This window comes from Homo sapiens, chromosome 8 (genome assembly GCF_000001405.40).
Source record: "Homo sapiens chromosome 8, GRCh38.p14 Primary Assembly".
Lineage (NCBI taxonomy): Eukaryota > Metazoa > Chordata > Mammalia > Primates > Hominidae > Homo > Homo sapiens.
In genome coordinates this window covers 86,624,803-86,645,559 of record NC_000008.11, presented here as the reverse complement: position 1 = coordinate 86,645,559, position 20,757 = coordinate 86,624,803, and the positions used below count along the sequence as shown (strand labels likewise).

Genomic DNA, 20,757 nt, shown 5'->3' with positions numbered 1-20,757 from the left:
TAAGAGTCTATGATTTGAAGCACATTAAATATATTAACTCATGTATGCACACAACCCTTTTGGGGGGCATCTTTTCTTATTGATCTCATTTTACAGATGAGGAAACCAAGACACGGAAATAGCAAGAGACTTTTCCACAGTTACACAGTAGTAAGTGGTAGAGATAGAACTGGCATTTTGCTCTGGATTCCATACTTTACTGCCTATAGAAACAAAAGAGGAAGTAGGAAGTAGGAAGTAGGAAGTAGGAGTGCATGCAGGCAGAAAAGGTTGAGATAAAAGTAGAAGCAAGCAAGAAAAAACCTTGAGGGAAATAGTAACTCTGCTTGTATCAGATGCACATAAACTCTTTGTATCTTTGAATAATGTCAAGAACGGCCAATGCTAATACTTACTGAACTTTAAATTTTGTTTAAACAAATACACATTTAATGCAATTTACTGAAAAATAATGCTAGTGTTGAGCAATAAGACTTAACATCTATTTATAACTTTAATGCATTATACTTTTCCTCTTTTATGTATGTTTTTGGAGAGTGTGACTTTAATTGTTGGGAAACAGAGTTCTACTACATGCTTTCAAAACAAAAAGGAAAACAATGTTTTTTAAGTTTCATTTTCAACAAACATTAAAAATAAGACTATAACTACAGGGTAGCAATAAAATAAAGCAAAATAAAGCTCTGGAAGTATAATACCATGCTATAAAATGTACTGTCCAGAGGAAAATATCACTAAACAGGATCTTGGTTTTTTTAAAAAGACATATGAATGAAATTATTTTCAGTAATAAAATCTATTTCATATAGTTTTATTTAAATATATATATTTAAGACTAACATGCTTTTGGATTTCTTTTGCTTTTCTATATAGTACACTTCATTTTTTGAATTTAATCATCACCTAGAGTCTATAATGGACAAAGCATATATCTACAGGTAAAGTATAACTCAGTATACTTGGGGGAAGGGGAAAAAGCAATGGTACAACATTTTAGACGGAATTTGGCAGGGATATGACCCCCCTCTTCAAAAAAAGGATATAATTTCAGCTTTGGCTATATAAAATATAGGACTATGTTCTAGAACAGATGTGGATATTTTAAGTGAAATAAGAGTATGAAAATCATATCAGATTTTAGAATACTGGACTAAGAAAATAGGACTTATTATCTGCCTCTGTCAAAACAAGTACAGAAAAACATACTCTTTTGCAAGTTAACTTTAAACCTTTCTCATGATAATTCATTCCTAATCTGAATTTCATTCGTTTGTTGTTCTAAATTTTACTTGCACCGAAACCTCTAGTTGCCATTCATCGTAGCATAAAGTCTCATGAGCTTTTCAGAGATATCCAGTTAAATTAGCATAGTGTATTTTATGGGACTTAAACTGAAGAAGTGACCTTTGAGGCATGTCTTTCACGGAGTTGACTCACAACATCTGTGAAAAGAGAGGAAGTTTTCTTTTTCTTTTTTTTTTCTTTACACTCTGTCAATCCCAGTCAAGACATTGCCATCAGAAAACATGCAATGGCACCATCACTTTGTACTGTACTAATGAGAGTTAACAGTTCACAAATCCAAAGCAAGGGGTTCGCTGGTGACTTTAAGGAAAAGAAAATGTTAAAATAGGCTGTATTTCAGAAACAACATGAATCTTACTTTGCATCTATTCTCTCTGACAGAGTTATTCGAACAACTGGATACTTGCTGTTTATTCTGCACATTAATGCCTGTGTTTATTACTGGGCTTCAAACTATGAAGGAATTGGCACTACTAGATGGGTGTATGATGGGGAAGGAAACGAGTAAGTTCTGATTTTGAAAGAAACCTTTATTGATTATTTTTAACATTCTGTTTCATTGTATGAATTTATGAGAGCCAGTGTTTTTGAAGCTGTCATAACCCATTCAATGGCTGGTAAATGCTATTTGGCCATAAAAAAGGATAAAATCATGTCATTTGCACCAAAATGGATGGGACTGAAGGTCATTATCTTAGTGAAATAAGCCAGACCCAAAACGATAAATATCACACGTTCTCACATATATGTGGGAGCTAAAAATTTTGATCACATAGAGACAGAGAGTGGAAAGATAACAGAGACTGGGAAGGGTGAGTGGTGGGGAGAGGAGCGCATAAAGAAAAGTGGATTAAAGGATACAAACATACAGTAAGAATATATTCAACGTTTGCAACAGAGTAGGGTGACTATAGTTTCAAAACATGTATTGTACTCGAGTAATAAACACCCTAAACACCCTGACTTGATCACTATGCATTGTATACATGTAACAAAATTGCATGAGTACCCCATGAATTGGTCTAAATAAAAATTTTTAAGCTGAAAAACCTCTTTAGTAAGTCAATACATTTTTAAATGAAAGAAGATAGAGAATAATAGAATAGAAAATATCAGAGTCTGATAGATAGTAGGGGAGTGTGTGTGTGTGTGTGTGTATCCTGAGTTGGCCTGTGAAATGCATTTTTTACTCTGGATCATGATCAAAAAAGTTTGAAAGCCTCTAGACAACTGAGCAGTAAGGTAACTTTTAATAACTCCGATGCCGATTGTTAGTAATGAACAATGTTAATTATTTAAAGGGCAGGTGCAGTGGCTAATTAGTTTACCAGTGAAGGGTTTTATGGGTTTATGAGTCAGCTATAACCACTAACTCAATTAAACACTTAGAGAGTAACGAGGATCATAAATTAAACTTGACAATTAGGTATGCAAGTGTCCCAGAAATAAAAAAAGATCACTTGAAAAATTTAGAACAGTAGAATCAGGACTCAGAAATGGCAACTGGGTTATTTAATAGTGAAATTTCCTTTTGGTAAAATACAAAGACCTGGCATAAAGTTGACTTCACTAACTTTCTGCTCCAGTGAAATGACATTGAACATATAATAAGGCAATGTCCAAACTGGAAAAAAAGCAGGTCCCAGCATTACTTTGAAGGGCAACTCACTGCAGCCTTGGGATGGAGAGCAATTATAGGATAGAGCAAAGAGAGGGAAAATAACTTACAAAATTACATACTACCTAGAGTGAGTTGGATATGTATAAGGGATTATAACAACCAGAACCGATTTTAAAGAATTTAAAGTCAGAAGGACCACTGATTGGGAAACACACACACACAGACACTCAATTTCCAGAAAATTTACTAAATAAATAATTCCCTTTAGAATGTGAATTATTTACTTTGATATAAACAACTAATTTATCTAAAAATTGACTAAAATACCAGCTACAGTAAAATTGCCTCAAAGTGAATATGTAATCCAACATCATTAGATGACTGTGGCTGATAGCTGTTTTTTTCAAATTAGCAAAACAATATAGGATTGCATCAGAATGCCTTCCAGAAAGTGAAGCTATTTCTCCTTTTACACCTAGACGCCTCTCTGTGGAGTTTCTAGGGACTATATCTTGTTCCCAGTGTTAAGCTCAGTGTTAAGTATATAATAATAGACAATATATAGGTATATAAAAGCAGGAAGAGAGAGGGGGAGTAAGGAAAAACGAAAGGAATGGCCAAATCTGCATTGTAACAAGAAGAAAGAAATCTCAGCTTTAGCCCATAAGAAACTTCAAGTGTGCTAGTGTTTTGGATTTCTAATTCCAGCTACATCATAGCCCAGGTAGCCAAGATACTCTCTCTAAAATGCAAGATAAATTACCTGTTGTAATTTTGTTAAGTTACTTATTATAATTATTTGTTATAAGTTTCTAAATGAATACAATTACAACAGTTTTCAGTGATTGCTGAGTTCCCTAGAAAGTAAGAAGTATCTCCAAAGGCTAAAACACAAACATATGTACCAAACCTGGAGTACAATAGAAAATGAGTGTGAGTAACCACTAAAGAACAGAAATAGAGAGAATAACTTCTAAATTAGTATAAGGGGAAAAAAAAATGAATAAGGAAATTTAAAAAGCAAACCAGTCCAAAAAAAGACACAAAGATAAGGAGTGGCAGTTTTGGGGAGAAGTACAGGAAAGGCAGGACAATAGAAGACACAACATAAGATGGTAAGGACAATTTAAAATAGATCAGTATGTTACCAGAAAGGGGTCCTGATCCAGACCCCAAGAGAGGGTTCTTGGACCTTGTGCAAGAAAGAATTTGGGGCAAGTCCATGGAATAAAGTGAAAGCAAATTTATTAAGAAAGTAAGAAATAAAAAAATAGCTACTGCATAGGCAGAGCAGTGGCATGGACTGCTTAGAATACCTACAATTATTTCTTGATTATATGCTAAACAAGGAGTGGATTATTCATGAATTTTCAGGGAAAGGGGTAGGCAATTCCCAGAATTGAGGGTTCCTCCCCTTTTTAGACTATATAGGGTAACTTCTGGATATTGCCATGGCATTTGTAAACTGTCATGGTGCTGGTGGGAGTGTCTTTTAGCATGCTAATGAATTATAATTAGCGTATAATGAGCAATGAGGATGACAAGAGTTCACTTTCATCGCCATCTTGGTTGTGGTGGATTTGGGCCAGTTTCTTTACTGAAACCTAATTTATCAGCAAGCTCTCTGTTACCTGTATCTTGTGCCAACCTCCTGTTTCATCCTGTGACTTAGGATGCTTAACCTCCTGGGAAGGCAGCCCAGTAGGTCGCAGCCTTATTTTACCCAGCCCCTTTTCAAGAGGGAGTCACTCTGGTTCAAACACCTCTGACAAATATGTGCAGTAAATTAATGTGAACTAAACTCACATGCTAATAGAGATTGTCAATTAACATTAGTCAAAATAAGCTTTAAAACAAAACCATTTTAGAGAAAAAGTTCACCATATAATGATAAAAGTTTTGATTCATGATTGTCAAAAGACAAAATTACAACAAATTTATTTTAATGATCTTAATTGGCTTTTATTTGCAATTCTAGAATCACGCAACACCTCAATTCTATAAAATAAAATGAGTGTTCTGATGAGCTGAGCAAAGGAGGTTGGCTTCATAGGCAGAAAAGGGCTGAAGAAAGCAGAAACAGAGAACAAAAACGGACTGGTCATTTCAAAGTTACTTTCCCTCTAAAGGTTAAAGTAGAGGGGACTTCCTTACCATGCTGGATAAAACTGGCTAGTTTGGGGATTTAGCTATCTCTCTTTCTCTCTCTCCTGATTTCTTGGAATGGCAGATAAACAACTTAGTTTCAGTTTGGTGACATAGAACTTCAGCATGAGTAATTCCATTTTGCTTTGGTCTGTTTGGCCTAGTGCAAGAGTTTAGTCCAAACCAATGGCCTCCTATAAATTTTATTTACTACCATCAAGATATTCCAATTCTAAATGTGTATGCACCCAATAAAATACTTACAATCATTCAAAGAAAACCATAAAGCAAAAATTGATAGAAGGAGGAGAAATTGGCCAATATATCATCAAAGTGTGAGACACCAAACATAATTATTGACAGGTCAAGTAACCAGAAACAATAAACATATAAAAGATTTGATAACCCAAATAACAAGCTTGATTTCATGGGTACAAACAGAATCTTGCACCCAAGGATTAGAAACTACCCATTTTTCTTAATCACTCACAGAAAAACTACTAAAAGTGATCATTTTCTAGGCCCAAACCTAGTTTCGATAAATTCCACAGCCTTGTTATCATACAACTCACATTCTCTGACTATAAATATTACCCCATCAGCTCTGCTCTGCTCATTTAGACTGAAGCATTCTCACTCAAAACCAAAGCTCCAACAATCCTGTTACCAACTGTCAGGGACACAGGTTGCCACCCTTGCAATGAAAATGCTTTTAAAAGCAGCCTCTTTACTTATCTTTTTAGATAATTTGCATATGTCAGTTACTAGTATACTTATCCTAATAGTTTTTTTAACATCAATTTCTCCTTCTATTGCTTCATGTTACCCTTTGATCTTGTAAGCCAAGTTTTTGCAATAATTACCTATTTTTTAACTTAACCCTTGTGATGGTCCTGGTGACCTATAAATTGAAGGTTGCTCATTAGGCCTTTGGATTTGCAAATTTTGACCTAGTTAGAATTAGGCAGCAGACTGTGGGGCATAAATGGAACACTGTGAACATTTAAAATAAGTCAAGTTTATTATGATTCCATTAATTCTCATCAGAACAGCAATTTCTATTCACATCAATAGAAGGCATTTTTATTTATATTGAGTGAATAACATCCTTCTTTAGACTGTAAAATGTGAGAAAGAATGCAAATATTTAGTTCAAAAGGAGAACACAAGTAAGTACCTAAGATTATGTGATACTTAAAAATGTTCCCAATGTATTTTTGTCCACATATATCCCAATTTTATGTATTTTCTGACATAAATTTCCCACTGTGCACAAATTTTTTAACAAATCCACAGTCCCAGTCCCTAATGTATCTTCTTTGAAAAAAAGAGAAGTAAACAAGGCATCATGGGAATTATTGACTTTAGTTGATGTAAGGAAGGAATCAGAATTACTATACCATAGTGCTAGAAAAATTTAGGTAATCCACCTTCTCAATTTTACAGATAAAGATGATGAGACTTAGGTAGATGAAAATATTTATTCAGGATGTCCTAGATACCTCATAGCTGAGATCAGACAATGGCAGAGAGAGAGAAGGAAAGGGAGGAGGGGGGAAAGGGAGAGGAAGAGGGAGGATATTTATATTACAATTCCTAGAGGGTCACCCTTGGAATATAACAAAAACAAACAAACAAACAAACAAAACAAAAAAAAAAACCCAGAGCAAAGAATCAGTGGATCAGAAGGAAGTGAAGGTCAGTGAGAAGCATGACAGGGGAGAGTTCAGAAGGAGATTCAACAGATGTGTTCACAGATACAGTCTTCCTACATTCTCATTTCAGTAAGTCTAGGTATGCATTCACTCATCCATTCCAGTCATTCAACAAATATTAGTGAATTCCTATTGTGTGCTACTAGGCCCATAAACACCTACCTTTGTAGCACTTACATTCTAATAAGACCGTTCTCCCTCATAGCCATTGCTTCCAGTAATAAGTTTACAGAAACTAGGGACTAAGATGGATTGAGGTAGTTAGGAAGGTCCACACAGAAAGATAAGTATAGAAGGGGTACTTTTAAAAATTGCATGTCCCACTACAGATTTACCACAATGGCTGAAATTTAAAAGACTGACAATACCAAGTGCTGGGATAATGACAATGCCAGGTGTTAGGATAACATGGGGTTACTGGAACTCACATATTGTTAGAGGGAATGTGAAATGATAAAACCATATTGGAAAAAGATCTGACAGTTTATTTTACAACTAAACACAACTACCCTACAACTCAAAAATTCCAATGTAGGTATTTTACCCAAAAGTAATGAAAATATATGTTCACAGAATAAAACTTGTTCAAGAATTTTCACAGAAGCTCTATTCATCAAAACCAAAAACTTGAGGCAGGCTAGGTATTCATCCATAGGTGAATAAATAAACAAACTGTGGTATAAAGATACAATGAATACTATGCAGCAATAAAAAGGAATAAATTACCAATACACAACATAAATAACTCTCAAAACCATACTGAGTAAAAGACATCTTATACGGAAGCATATATACTGTACGATTTCATTTATGTGAAATTCTAAAACAGGCAAACTTATCCACGGTAGAAAAAAATTAGAACAGGTGATTGCCTCTGGCGCATTTGAGTAAGGATTGACTGGGAAAAGAATTGAGAGAACTTTCTAAAGTGATGGCAAGGCTCTATGTCTTAACATGTGTTTTGTTACACAGGTATATGCATTTGTCAAAATTTATTAAATGATACAAAAATCAGTAGCATTTCTACACACTAACAATAAACTCTCTGAAAAGGAAATTAAGCATCAAAAAGAATAAAATATTTGGAATAAACTTAACCAAAGGGGTGTGAGACTTGTACACTGAAAACTGCAAAATGCTGATAAAAAATTAAAGTAGAAACTAATAAATTGAAAGACATCTGTATTCAAGGGCTAGAATAATTAATATTGTTAAAATGTCCCAACTACTCACAATGATCTATAAATTCAATGCAATCCCTATCAAAATCTCAATGATTTTTTTACAGGAACAGAAAAAAATCCAAAAATTTGTATGGAACCACAAAAGACCCCGAATAGCTAAAGTAATTTTGAGCAAAAAGGACAAAGCCAAAGGCATCCCACTTCCTGATTTCAAAATATATCACAGAGCTACCATAATCAAAACAGTATGAAACTGGCATAAAAACACACATATGGTCCAATGAAACAAAATAGAGAGCCCAGAAATAAATGAATACATAGATGGTCAACTGCCTGTCCAAGGGTGCTAAGGATATGCAATGAGGAAAGATAGTCTCTCCAATAAATTGTACTGGGAAAACTGGATATCCACAAACAAAAGAACAAAATAACTACCATATGACCCAGCAATGCCACTTCTGTGAATATACCCAAAGGTATTGAAATCTGTATCTCAAAGAGACATCTGCACTCCCATGTTCATTGCAGCATTGCAGCATTATTCGCAATAGCCAAAACATGGAAGGAACCTAAATTTCTCTCAACTAATGAAAGGATAAAGATAATATGGCAAATATGCACATATATAATAGAATATCATTCAGCCTTAAAATGAAAGAAATTCTGCCATTTGTGACAATATAGATAGTGCTGGGGGACATTATGCCTAGCAAAATAAACAAGACACAGAAAGAGAAATACCGTCTGACCTCATATGACCTCACTTGTATGTGGAATCTAAAAGAGTCAATTTCGTAGTAGTAGAGAGTAGGATGGGGGTTACCAGGGGCTGGAGGAAAGGGATAATGGGGAAGTGTAAGTCAAGGAGTACAAAGCTTCCATTATGCAAAATGAGTAAGTCCTAGAAATCTACTGTATGGCATAATGCCTATAGATAATACTGTACTTTCTTTAAATTCACCAAATGGTCTTACTTAACATTAGTGCCTTTTTTTTTTTTTTTTTTTTTTTTTTTTTGAGACAGGGTCTTACTCTGTCACCCCGGCTAGAGTGCAGTGGCACCATCTCAGCTCACTGTAACCTCCGCCTCCCGGGTTCAAGCGATTCTCCTGCCTCAGCCTTCCTGAGTAGCTGGGATTACAGACACCCACCACCATACCCGGCTACTTTTTGTATTTTAAGTAGACACGGGGTTTCACCATGTTGGCCAGACTGGTCTCAAACTCCCAACCTCAAGTGATCCACCCGCCTCAGCCTACCAAAGCACTGGGATTACAGGTGTGAGCCGCCATGCCCGGCCTCATTAGTGCTTTAACTGTATATTCAAAATAAAACATAACTCTAAACAAATACTGAACTCCAGTTAACATATATATTCTGAAGTACTGTTTTTAGGAGAAAGTTTCTGGCTGTCTAGAAATTATTTTGAAATACATCCAAAAAATAAGAAGGTTTTATTGATAAATAAGTGGAGGAATATGTGACGAAGCAAGCATAGTAAAATGTTAATGGTAGAATCTAGGCAGTGGGCATGTGAGTGTTCACTGTAAAATTCTTTTAATTTTTCTGTTTGTTTAAAATGTTTCATAAAAATATATTGGGGGAAATTGCATGTTATGTTTGTTTCACAGAGAAAGGCTTTCTATTTTCATACTAAATATTTTTATGGCTTTATGTCAAATCCTGCCTTACTGCTTTAAGTATGCCTAAGTATATGTGTATGTGTATATATATATATATATATATATATATATATATATATATATATCATGTGTTATACAGTTGATGCATTGTATAGCTAATAATTAGATACTTCATGTGTTAATCCAGCCAGATAGAATCTCTTTGAAAAGATCTATCTGACTGGGATGTAGATATTAGAGATGGACACACTTGACTAATTAAGCTAATCTTAGGAAATCCATAAGAGGTCATCTAATTAAATTACAAATCTTACCTTTGGTTATGCATGTCTAGGTGTAAGATGTGACTGAGAAAAGAATCCTAAAATAAATCTCAAAGCATCAGGGCAGAAAACTTCCAATTAACATAGCAGACTATTTAATATAAAAAAAATTGTTCAAGCCAAACCCTTGAGATTTGGAAAATCCATGCCAAAATTTTACATTTGATTGTTATTTTTTAAAATCATAAAAAAGAAAATGGGAGAAAGTAATTCTTATGTTTGTTCCTGTTAAAGTAGGACAAACTTTTGAGTGACTTTGGAGGGGAAGTAATCCCAACACTTATCATGGAATTGACCATGTTGGGAGAGAATCTTGTTTCTCTTCACTCTTGGGTAATGTCAGGTTTAATAAATTTCCTTAATTTAAAGAGACCCACAGGTCCAAAACCGGTGACCAAAATAAATCAGGTAATAGGAAATTATAAATTGGAATTTGAAAAGTTAAAATGCAATCCATAAAATTAATTCCAGACTTCTTCAAGGTGGTTCTCTTTGACATCAAGTTCACTATGATATTAGTAAGTCCAAGGAAGACTGCTAGAAAAAAATTATACAGTGGTAACATTTTTATTCTCTTGGCATAGTGGTTTTCAAGCCCTACCAAAGAGTTCATTATTTTTTCTGTTCCTATAACAAGGAACTAGGTTAAAAAAAAAAAAGAGTCCTATGTCCTTCAAAAGGTATTGAATTTCAAAATGAGTAATTTCTTTCTAGATCTGTTTTTATTTGAATATTAACTTCAACTGCAGTTTCTTTCTTTCTTTGTAAACCTCAACTTCTTACTATTTGAAGATCTTAAAATCTCAAACTATTTTTACAAGAAAAGACCACCCTTGTTCAAAGCTTAGTGCCCAGTTACCCAAAGTGCTAATGTTATATGTGGCATACCTAGATAAGAAATAAAAGCTCGACTAGGGCAGGATTCCGTAAAAAGTACTCCTTTTCTGTGTCTGTACAAGATGCTGAAATAGCTAGTTGGGACACACAAAATCTTAATGTCCCTCTGTAACAAAACCTGGAGACGTTCTTTATATAAATGACATTTTTAAAGGATTCAGTGGAAATGCTTGATACAGACCAAGTTATCAGAGCTATGTAGAATTACCAGATAGTATGCCTAAGTGCACAAGAATTATGAAATATATATACAGATGTCTTTGACTTCTGATGAGGTTACATCACAATAAACCTATCGGGAAAATATTGCAAGCCAAAAATGCAGTTAATACACCTAACCTACCAAACATCATAGCTTAGCCTAACCTAACTTAAATGTGCACAGAACAATTATGTTAGTCTACAGTTCAGCAAAATCATCTACCACAAAGCCTAGTTTCTAATAAATTGTTGAATATCTCATGTAATTTATTGAATACCATACTAAAAGTGAAAAGCAGAATGGTTGTATGAGTATGCAAAGTATGGTTTCTACTGAATGGATATTGCTTTTATGCCATCATAAAATCAAACCATAGTATGTTAAGGACTCTCTGGATAGCTAAGTAAATGTTATATGTTCTTTACTAATCCTTATCATATTCTTTTCTCATCCTGTTCCTATCTGGTCTGTAATGACCTCAGCCTCTTCATTTGCAATTGTTCAAGTACAGAAATTTTATCAAGTACATTTCTGAGCATACTTGATTTTCTTCAATACCAAATTTCTAGATCAGTTGCCCATTACAATCAACAGTAATTTCCCTATTAAGATGGAGCTCAGCTCTCCTCTGTCTCTGCCATGGTTTACGTATTCAATAATATAATAATATGTGGGTGAAAAATAGAAGAGATATTCATCTGTTCTGTTTTCCACTAGTAAAAACAATTGGATCTAAACTATAGAAGATTCTCTCATCTGCATAAATACATTTGATCTCTATAATATTCCCACAAATCAATAGTGTAGTAGTTTAAAAACAGCCTCAAATTTTTGCTGCTTCTCTCATTGAGAGGTGGATTCAAATGTCTCTTCCCTTGAACCTGGGTTGGCCTTAGTGACTTGACTGACAAATACAATGTGACAACTATAAGATGATATAGGGCTTCTAAGTTATAGGAAACCTGGCAGCTACCACCTGGGCTGCTATTGCTCTGGGGGAAAACAGCTCTCATGTAAAAATCCATCTACCTTAGACATCCATGCTATGAGGAAGCCCAAGCTAGTCACATTGAGAGGCTGAATGAAAAAAGATACCCAGCCACCCTCTACTGTTCCAATCTTCCCAGCTCAGGATCAGACATGTGAGGTAAGCAGCTACCTTGGGCATTCCAAAAGGACATAATGTGGAAAGGAACAGGGGAACCCAGCCAACAGTCAGAATCAAGGTTTCAGACATTTGGTTTCAATCAAATCTTTCCAGATATCTCCAGCCATTCAACTCATACCAGCTGAGGGCCCGGTCATCATGGAACATAAATGAGTCATCTCTGTTGGGCTTTGCACAAAATTCTGACCCATAAAACTATAAGCCTAATAAAAATGGTGGTTATTTAGACTACCAAATTTTGGTAACGGCTAGTAAACACCCTCCTTGGGCTTGTTTCATCATTTCACAGCATTTATTAAGAAGTTTACATTAGCACACATGCTGTTTGCCAGTGCTGTCTAGAGAAAGAAAATCTTGATTAGTAGGAAATTTGTTATAATTTAATAGTACTATATTCTCCCAAGAATAGTGGTCTTTCGATGATATAGAAAAAAAGCAAAATGTATATCTTCTGTTTTCACAGGTATCTGAGATGTTATTATTGGGCAGTTCGAACTTTAATTACCATTGGTGGCCTTCCAGAACCACAAACTTTATTTGAAATTGTTTTTCAACTCTTGAATTTTTTTTCTGGAGTTTTTGTGTTCTCCAGTTTAATTGGTCAGGTAAGCTGAGTATGAATCACTGGATACACAGTGCTGTCATTTTGAAAGACTAACAGGTCTTTGTAAACTTTATGGAGGAAAAATTAAAATCTGTCTGGTTCTTCTTTTTTTGAACTAACTTTCTTCTATTTTAATGAGTTGAAGGAGGATGTGATTAGATCAACAGTGCTTTTCCATTTTTAAGCCATTAAATCTATCAAAAGACCTGTCAGCAAATAGCATAGTTTGAACTCTCAGAGAAAGTTGTTTCTAAGTTAACTTTTTACTTGGACCCTAATGAAAACCATTAAAATCTCTTTTATTTACTTAAATTTCAAATATTGTTATAAAATCACTGGGTTATAATTGACTTCAGAGGTCATTTAAACCAGAGGCTACAAAATGCCATATAAAATAATTAATAAGTTATTGTTTCACAAATGTTTACTATAGCATCTCCTTGTATTTATTCTCAAAAAAGTCAGTCTAGTAAGAAATTAAATACATAAATTATTATATTGAAGATAGTTGGCACTTACAAAGGATAGAGCCCTTTTTTTTTTTTTTTTTTTTTGAGACAGGGTCTTGCTCTGTCACCCAAGCTGGGGAGCAGTGGCACAAACATGGCTCACTGCAGCCTCAGCCTCCTGGGCTCAAGGGATCTACCCACCCCAGCCCCCCAAGTAGCTGCAACTACAGTTGCACCCCACCACACCAAGCTAATTTTTTTTGTAGGACAGGTGGATAGTGGCCTGAATGTAGGAGCCCATGTAAGAACCTGATACAGAAGGCAGTTGGGATATGGGTTCCAGATTAGTTAGTTTACGCATGGAAGACACACTCTCAGGAGATTTGGCCACCATCTCTAACCGTGGGAGAAACAAGCAAGGCCTCAGTCAGCAAAGTCCCTGATATTAACATATCAAAACATAGAAAATAAAACAGGTTAATACAGATACACGGGGATATGGCAGTTCCAGCCTTAACATGTTAATGAAATACAGAGAGGGGTAGTAAAGTAAACTCTATGTAGAAAATATTTAGGTTTAGGAAGATGAACACTAAGAGCTAAAAATTGTTAAGTATAAAATATCATTATCTTCATGGCTGGGGAGATTATATTAACAATGAAATAGGAAGCTGGTTTGAGAGATACTAAATTCAAATCCATTTGAATATAAATAGCAAAAATCACATTATTTTATAATTTCTAGTAAAATCAACGTGAAGTTGTCATATCACAGTCAATTTTTTCTCTGTTTTACGAATGAGAAAACTCCAGTTTAAAGAGATTAAGAGGCATCCCTGATTCATACATGTAGTTCATAGGGTCGTATGGAAGAACCATATATAATAACACTGATAATAACAGTAAAATTTAACATGTATTGAGCACTTACTATGTGCAAGACGATTTTCACATCAAGACTAAAATACTATTTCTAGCACCAGTTCAATTATCTTGTTACTCATAGTGTAATCTTTGGACAAGCAGCAGCAGCAGCACTTGAGAAATTCAGAGTTCAAGCCCCACCTCAGACTAGTGAATCAGAACTTGTATTTTAACAAAATCGTCAAGTGATTCATACACACACGAATGTTTGAAAAGTGCTGTTTTATACACCACACCACATCTGCTTTTAAATTGGATTTGAGGTTCCAATAGGAACAAGAAGGAATATCAAGTCACTGAAAATGTGGTAGTAGACCACAAGAGAAAGATTGAGGCTAGAGATACAGATATGTGCCTCAAACTCTCATAGTGAATAAAAGATGCTGAGCAGGGGAACAGATAGAAATAAAAGTTTAAAAGCCTGGGACAGAAAAAAACCCTCCACTCACTCAAAATTCCCACATAGAGACTATACGATGGAACTAATCATCACTCTTTTTTTATTAAGAGACAGGGTCTGGCTCTGTGCCCAGGCTAGGGTGTAGTGGCTTAATCATAGCTCACTGTAGCCTCAAACTCCTGGGTTCAAGCAATCCTCTCACCTCAGCTTCCCAGGTAGCTGGGACTACAGGTGCGTGCCATCATGCCTGGCTAATTCTTTTCTTCATTTATTTTTTGTAGAAACAGAGTCTCACTATGTTGCCCAGGCTGGTCTTGACCTCTTGGCCTCAAGTGATTCTCCCACCTCATCTCCCAAAATGCTGAGATTACAGACATGGAGCCACTGCACCCAGCCAATCATCACATTTTAACTACAATATTCTATTTTGTGATGCAACTCACAGAAACTGACATTTTTCTTCCTCTCATACTCTCATGTACTTCCCTAGCCTGCAATCCATTATAGAATATACATCTTCCTCAACTCCTGCAACAACAAAACCCAACATTGCTGAAGGATATCACACAAACCATTCAAATTACTGTCACTACAAATTATTGGAGCCTCAACAGCAATCAATAATGCTTTTAATAGTCCTTGCTTCCCAACTTAATACTCTATTAAATCTCCCAAGCCCTCTCCTAACATACCAAGTCTCCCAGCCTTAGGTGACTAGGTAATGTAAGTTATCAGCCAAGAACAGCATGGAAAAGTGAGATCTAGGAATTGAGGTTGTTGAGGAATATTTGGAAGAGCCACTGAGGAGTAAGAGACTCAAAAAGATATATACAGTTGGACTAGCTGCATAGCTCCTCTGCAGATAGTTTTAATATGTAGAAGAATTTTTTGGCTCTAAAAATGGAAACTGAGGAGGGCATCACAATTAAAAAGAGCCATTTGAGCTAGACTCCAAAGAATGAGTCGTTTTTCCATAAGCAGAAAAGGCTCAAAAGCTACTAAAATGAATGAGCAAAGTCTTAGGAGTGTGAAAGTGAGGCCCTGGTTTTCCTCCCTAGTATAAACCCACAGTCAAAGCATATTTACAGCCACTTGCCTCCCTCTATGTGAGAGGAAGAGTCGAGCTATATATCTTTTTTGTGCTGAGACCTTAAAGATCAGCTTTTAACCTAGAGTGGGTTTTTATGGGTGAGTTATAAACATCCAAGAACTAAAACCTGACAGTTTCTTAAGAATTGTCACAGCAGTAGATGATGCTTCAGTAATTTCAGCACATTTCAACTTCTGCTGAATACTGTGCCTTAAGCATGATGAGATTTGATTTTATCTGTCTAAACAACACAAAGGGAAGTACAGAGGTTGCAATTTCATGATGAATTGAGTCTATATAGCCAGCCACACTGGATAATCTATGAAGGATGCATTCAAAGTAAGACTCACCAAAATGGACTAGCCATTCTGCCAGACAATTGCTCAACTTTTATTGCACACTCCTTGCATAAGCACAGCTGTATAATTTTTTCAATGTATACTAACATTTCTGCAGTAAAATACAAGTTTCCAAAGAAGACTATGTGTAGTCCTATGCATTACATGGCTGAATTCTCACTTGGTTTGTCCTACAGGTCTTATTGTTGTCCTTATTGGATCAGAGAGAGAATATAATTTGCCCAATATTTTATGGAAGTGGGTGATATTAGGACCCAATATCAGTATGTTTAAAATCAATCCACTGCTGAAAAGTTGTCTGGGCAAGAATAAATAAAATAAAAATGAATGAATGAATAAAATCAAGTAATCAGGGCATTAGAAGGAAGTATATCATGTGGAAAACATGTAATTTGACTTTTATTAACTCATTTCCTCTGCTGGGCGTGGAGTGACCATATTTGTGGTTTTAGATGAGAGATGTGATTGGAGCAGCTACAGCCAATCAGAACTACTTCCGCGCCTGCATGGATGACACCATTGCCTACATGAACAATTACTCCATTCCTAAACTTGTGCAAAAGCGAGTTCGGACTTGGTATGAATATACATGGGACTCTCAAAGAATGCTAGGTAAGCATGGCAGATTACCGATTAAATTCCTGTAAACCTTGTCATATGATGAAAATTCTGTAAGGTAGCAGAGACTAGTTGGATTTGAACAAAAGGTTGAAAAACAACTAAATGATCCTTAAAGCATTCGTTTAATGCTACAGGTTTTTTTTTTTTCCTGAAATATAAATATCTTACTGGTTTTGAAAACCTTGGAAGAGAAAAGGCTAAATTTTAATCAGCATCTTCTGGATGCTCGGTATTACACACATTGTCTCATATAGTCACACATACAAAAAAGGAAGTGGGAAAATTAGGCATTGTCTATCCCTTTGAAGGGTAGAAAATGGAGGCTCCTAACTGAGAAATTTGGGCGAAGACACAGAGCCAGCACACAGTCTAAATAGAACTCAGACCCGCATCTCTTCTCTTCCAAACTCTTGCTCTTACTTCAATATCACTCTCTTACCCAGAACACAGTACAGTTGACCCTTGAACAAGTGGGGGTTAACAATGCCAACCCTCACTCCACAGTCAGAAATCCACATATAACTTTTGAGGCTGGGCATGGTGGCTTACTCCTGTAATCTCAGCATTTTGGGAGGCTGAGGCAGGCAGATCACTTGAGGTCAGGAGTTCAAGACCAGCCTGGCCAACATGGCAAAACTCCATCTCTACTAGAAATACAAAAATTAGCAGAATGTGGTGATGCACCACTACACTCCAGCCTAGGCAACAGAGCCAGATTCTGTCTCAAAATAACAGAAAGAAATCCACATATAACTTTTGACTCCCCCAGAACTGAACTACTAATAGGCTACTGTTGACTGGAAGCCTTACTATTAACACAAATTTTGTATGTTATCTGTATTATATACCATATTCTTAAAATAAACTAGAGAAAAGAAAATGTTATTAAGAAAATTATAAGGAAAAGAACTATACTTACTAGTAATTAAGTGAGACTAGATCATCATAAAGGTCTTCATCCTCCTCATCTTCACTGTCGAGTAGGCTGAGGAGAAGGAGAAAAAGGAGTTGGTTTTGCTCTCAGGTGTAGCAGAGGCGGAAGAAAATTCTTGTATAAGTGGACCTGTGTAGTTCAAACACGTGTTGTTCAAGGGTCAACTGTACTAATAGAAAGCAGCAACCTTTCAGGCCACTCCCATCCTGCCTCAGGGCACACAATTGCTTCCATGAGGTGCTAAATAATTAATGGTGTCTACAACTATACCACTATACTACTGCAGTTAAAAATAATTGTTACTGAGGGATATAAAATAAGTCGAAGATAATGCACTGCTAGTTGACAATAATGAAACTCAACTTTTAGTTTGTTCTTACCATATGAAATAGGAATTAGTGCCACTAAGAAGCCAAAAATGCTCCAGAGTGCAAATTACAATGAAATTCTCAAATCACAAAGGTTCCTAAGAGCAGACAGAAACCACTGGTTATTATGGTAGGGTCTTTTCTTCACCTTTCTGACACTTTTAAGCCTCTTAAAACTCCAGCCTCGTGTTTAGAATCTCTTCCTGAATGACCAAAACAACATGCCTCTCTCTAGAACATCTGCAGCTACTTGAAGGCATCTGAAGTGGGCAGGCAGAGCAACAAAAGGAGTGGTGCCAGGCTTCTTGCCTCGCACCCCTTAGCGAAGGCAGATAATGATTCAACTCCTTGGCTTAGGAGGTAACTAGAGACAGCCCTCGGAAACAATAAACTGTGTTTATATATGAAGGATTTTCATATTTAGAATCTATATTTGAATCAAAATAGGGATGTAATACAGCAATTTCTCTCTTTTCTAAATAATATAAGAAAACATTAAAAAAAAATCAACTCTCAGAAACTCTTGGAATTCTAACCATTAAGAATAGGGAATTTTCTGGAGGGGAACAAACGTGACCCTTGGCCTACTGGAGGGTGGAGGGTGGGTAGAGGGACAGGATCAGGAAAAACGATGAATAGGTACTAAACTTAATACCTGGGTGATGAAATAATCTCTATAACAAATCCCCATGACATGAGTTTACCGTATAACAAACTTGCACATGTACCCCAGAACTTAAAATACAAGGTTTTAAAAAAAGAAAAAAAAAAGAATAGGCAATTTTGTTTACGGAACATTTTATCAGCCTGAAGCCCATCATTTAATTCACATGTAGAAAAATCTGTAATGTATTCACATTCTTCATCGAGTTAATAAGCAAGTAAATAACAATAATTTGAATTTACTCTCTTAGCACATTTTTTCTTTAGATTCCATCCCAGCTGAGCCACCTACTAATTATGCACAATGGAGCAAGTCACTTACAGCTTCTCAGGGCTTCAGTCCTTTTTGTTTTTCTTCTTTCTGCAAAGTAGGAATGAGAACATTTACCCTTGGGGTTGTCACAAGGGTCAAATAAGATAATGGGTGTGACAGAGCTCTGTAAGCTCTCCAGTGCCACATGGTGCTCATTATTATTTGCCATCCCTTGAATGCTAAGGCTGGAATCAATAGAATCAGAAAATAAGAACTAGATCCTTCAGCCATGCTAGCTTGTTCACTAGCCTTTGTGCTATGATCATTACGTTTCATAGCTAAAGTTTCAGCAAGCATAATGTTCTGGAATTATTCAGTATGTCATCCAGGGTTAAAAATACTTCTTTTATTGCATAAGCATAATAGTGTTATTGTAATAGGTATGGAGGTCCAATAGAAGTAATGAAAATATAGAATCTGATGCATCTAATTATGTATAAAAAGTGTTTGCATTTTGTTTCCTTTATTTTAAAAATTTTTCTACTTGTACCTTGGTGACTTATTTCATTAATTATTCTGCATCGGGGTTTGATGTGTTTATCTTTATAAAGATGAGTCTGATTTGCTTAAGACCCTACCAACTACGGTCCAGTTAGCCCTCGCCATTGATGTGAACTTCAGCATCATCAGCAAAGTCGACTTGTTCAAGGCAAGTGCTTTTACAATTAATAGACTCTGTATCTATTTCTCTATGGAATCTAAGCTCTTGATTTATACAGCATTTATGAGTTTTTTTGCCTTATGTTTTAACAAAGTCAAAATAACCTAGAGAAATTATGTGGAATTAAAGAGTCAAATAAATTACAGGTCTCTCTTCAGCCAACGGCTTATTCTTTAGAACCCTCTTTCTCTTCTAATTGGTGTCAAAAAAGAAGAGTTCTTCAGACTCTTCTTGCATTAATTTAAATATAATTTAAATTACATGGCTCTATGTCTTTGCTAGTACATGTATCACCTCCCATCTATAAATGTGCCTTGGCAATTCACAACAAATCAGGCTCCAGAATAGCTCTGTAATGGCCTGACAATCAGAGAATTATACCTAATCATGTCTTCTATTACAAATACTTTGGATTTAGACTCTTAAAATGGCCAAATTTTAATTTAGAAGCTTTTTGTTTCAGGAAAAAAAAATTATAACAAAGAAATTTTTAACTTTTTGAGTGTTTTAAGTATTACTACTCTTTTTGTGCATTATATCACATATAAATTTTTCTCACCTAATATTTCCTTCTGGGTATAGCATTCACCGACTCATCCATTCAATTAATTCATTCAACAAGTATTTATGAAGTTCCCACCATGTTTCAGGCACCACTTTAGCCACTGGGAATATAATAGCTGAAAACAAATACTTACTCAAGTGGAGCTTAAATTCCAGAAGAAGGGAATGAAAAATAAACGCATAAAATGTGTGGAGGTGATAACGCCATGAACAAAGTTAAGCAGGTTGTATAGGTTGTTCTCACATTGCTATTAAAAAAAAATACCTGAGACTGGGTAATTTCTAAAGAAAATATGTTTATTTGGTCATGGTTCTGCAGGCTGTACAGGAAGCACAGCAGCATCTGCTTCTGGGGAGGCTTCAGGGAGCTTTTGATCATGGCAAAGGGCAAAGCAGGGGCAGGCATCTTATATAGCAGGAGCAGGACCAAGGCAGGTGTGGTCAGTGTCACACACTTTTAAGCAGCCAGATATTATGAGAACTCACTCACTGTCATGAGGACAGTACCAAAGGGGATGGTGCTGAACCATTCATAGGAAATCCGCCCCTGTGATTTAATCACCTCCCACCAGGCTCCACGTCCAACATTGGGGATTGCAATTCG

The 20,757-nt window shown here is 35.7% G+C and overlaps 1 protein-coding gene across 2 annotated transcripts in view; it reads left to right on the top strand.

Moving 5' to 3' along the window:
- Positions 1-20,757, top strand: part of CNGB3 (cyclic nucleotide gated channel subunit beta 3) — a 169,456-nt gene that overhangs the window by 98,075 nt on the left and 50,624 nt on the right. For both annotated transcript variants that reach the window (NM_019098.5, XM_011517138.3), the window contains 5 exons: positions 874-938; positions 1,687-1,809; positions 12,667-12,808; positions 16,482-16,641; positions 19,480-19,577. In NM_019098.5, coding sequence (NP_061971.3) covers positions 874-938; positions 1,687-1,809; positions 12,667-12,808; positions 16,482-16,641; positions 19,480-19,577 — 588 coding nt within the window. The remainder of the gene's footprint in view (positions 1-873; positions 939-1,686; positions 1,810-12,666; positions 12,809-16,481; positions 16,642-19,479; positions 19,578-20,757) is intronic.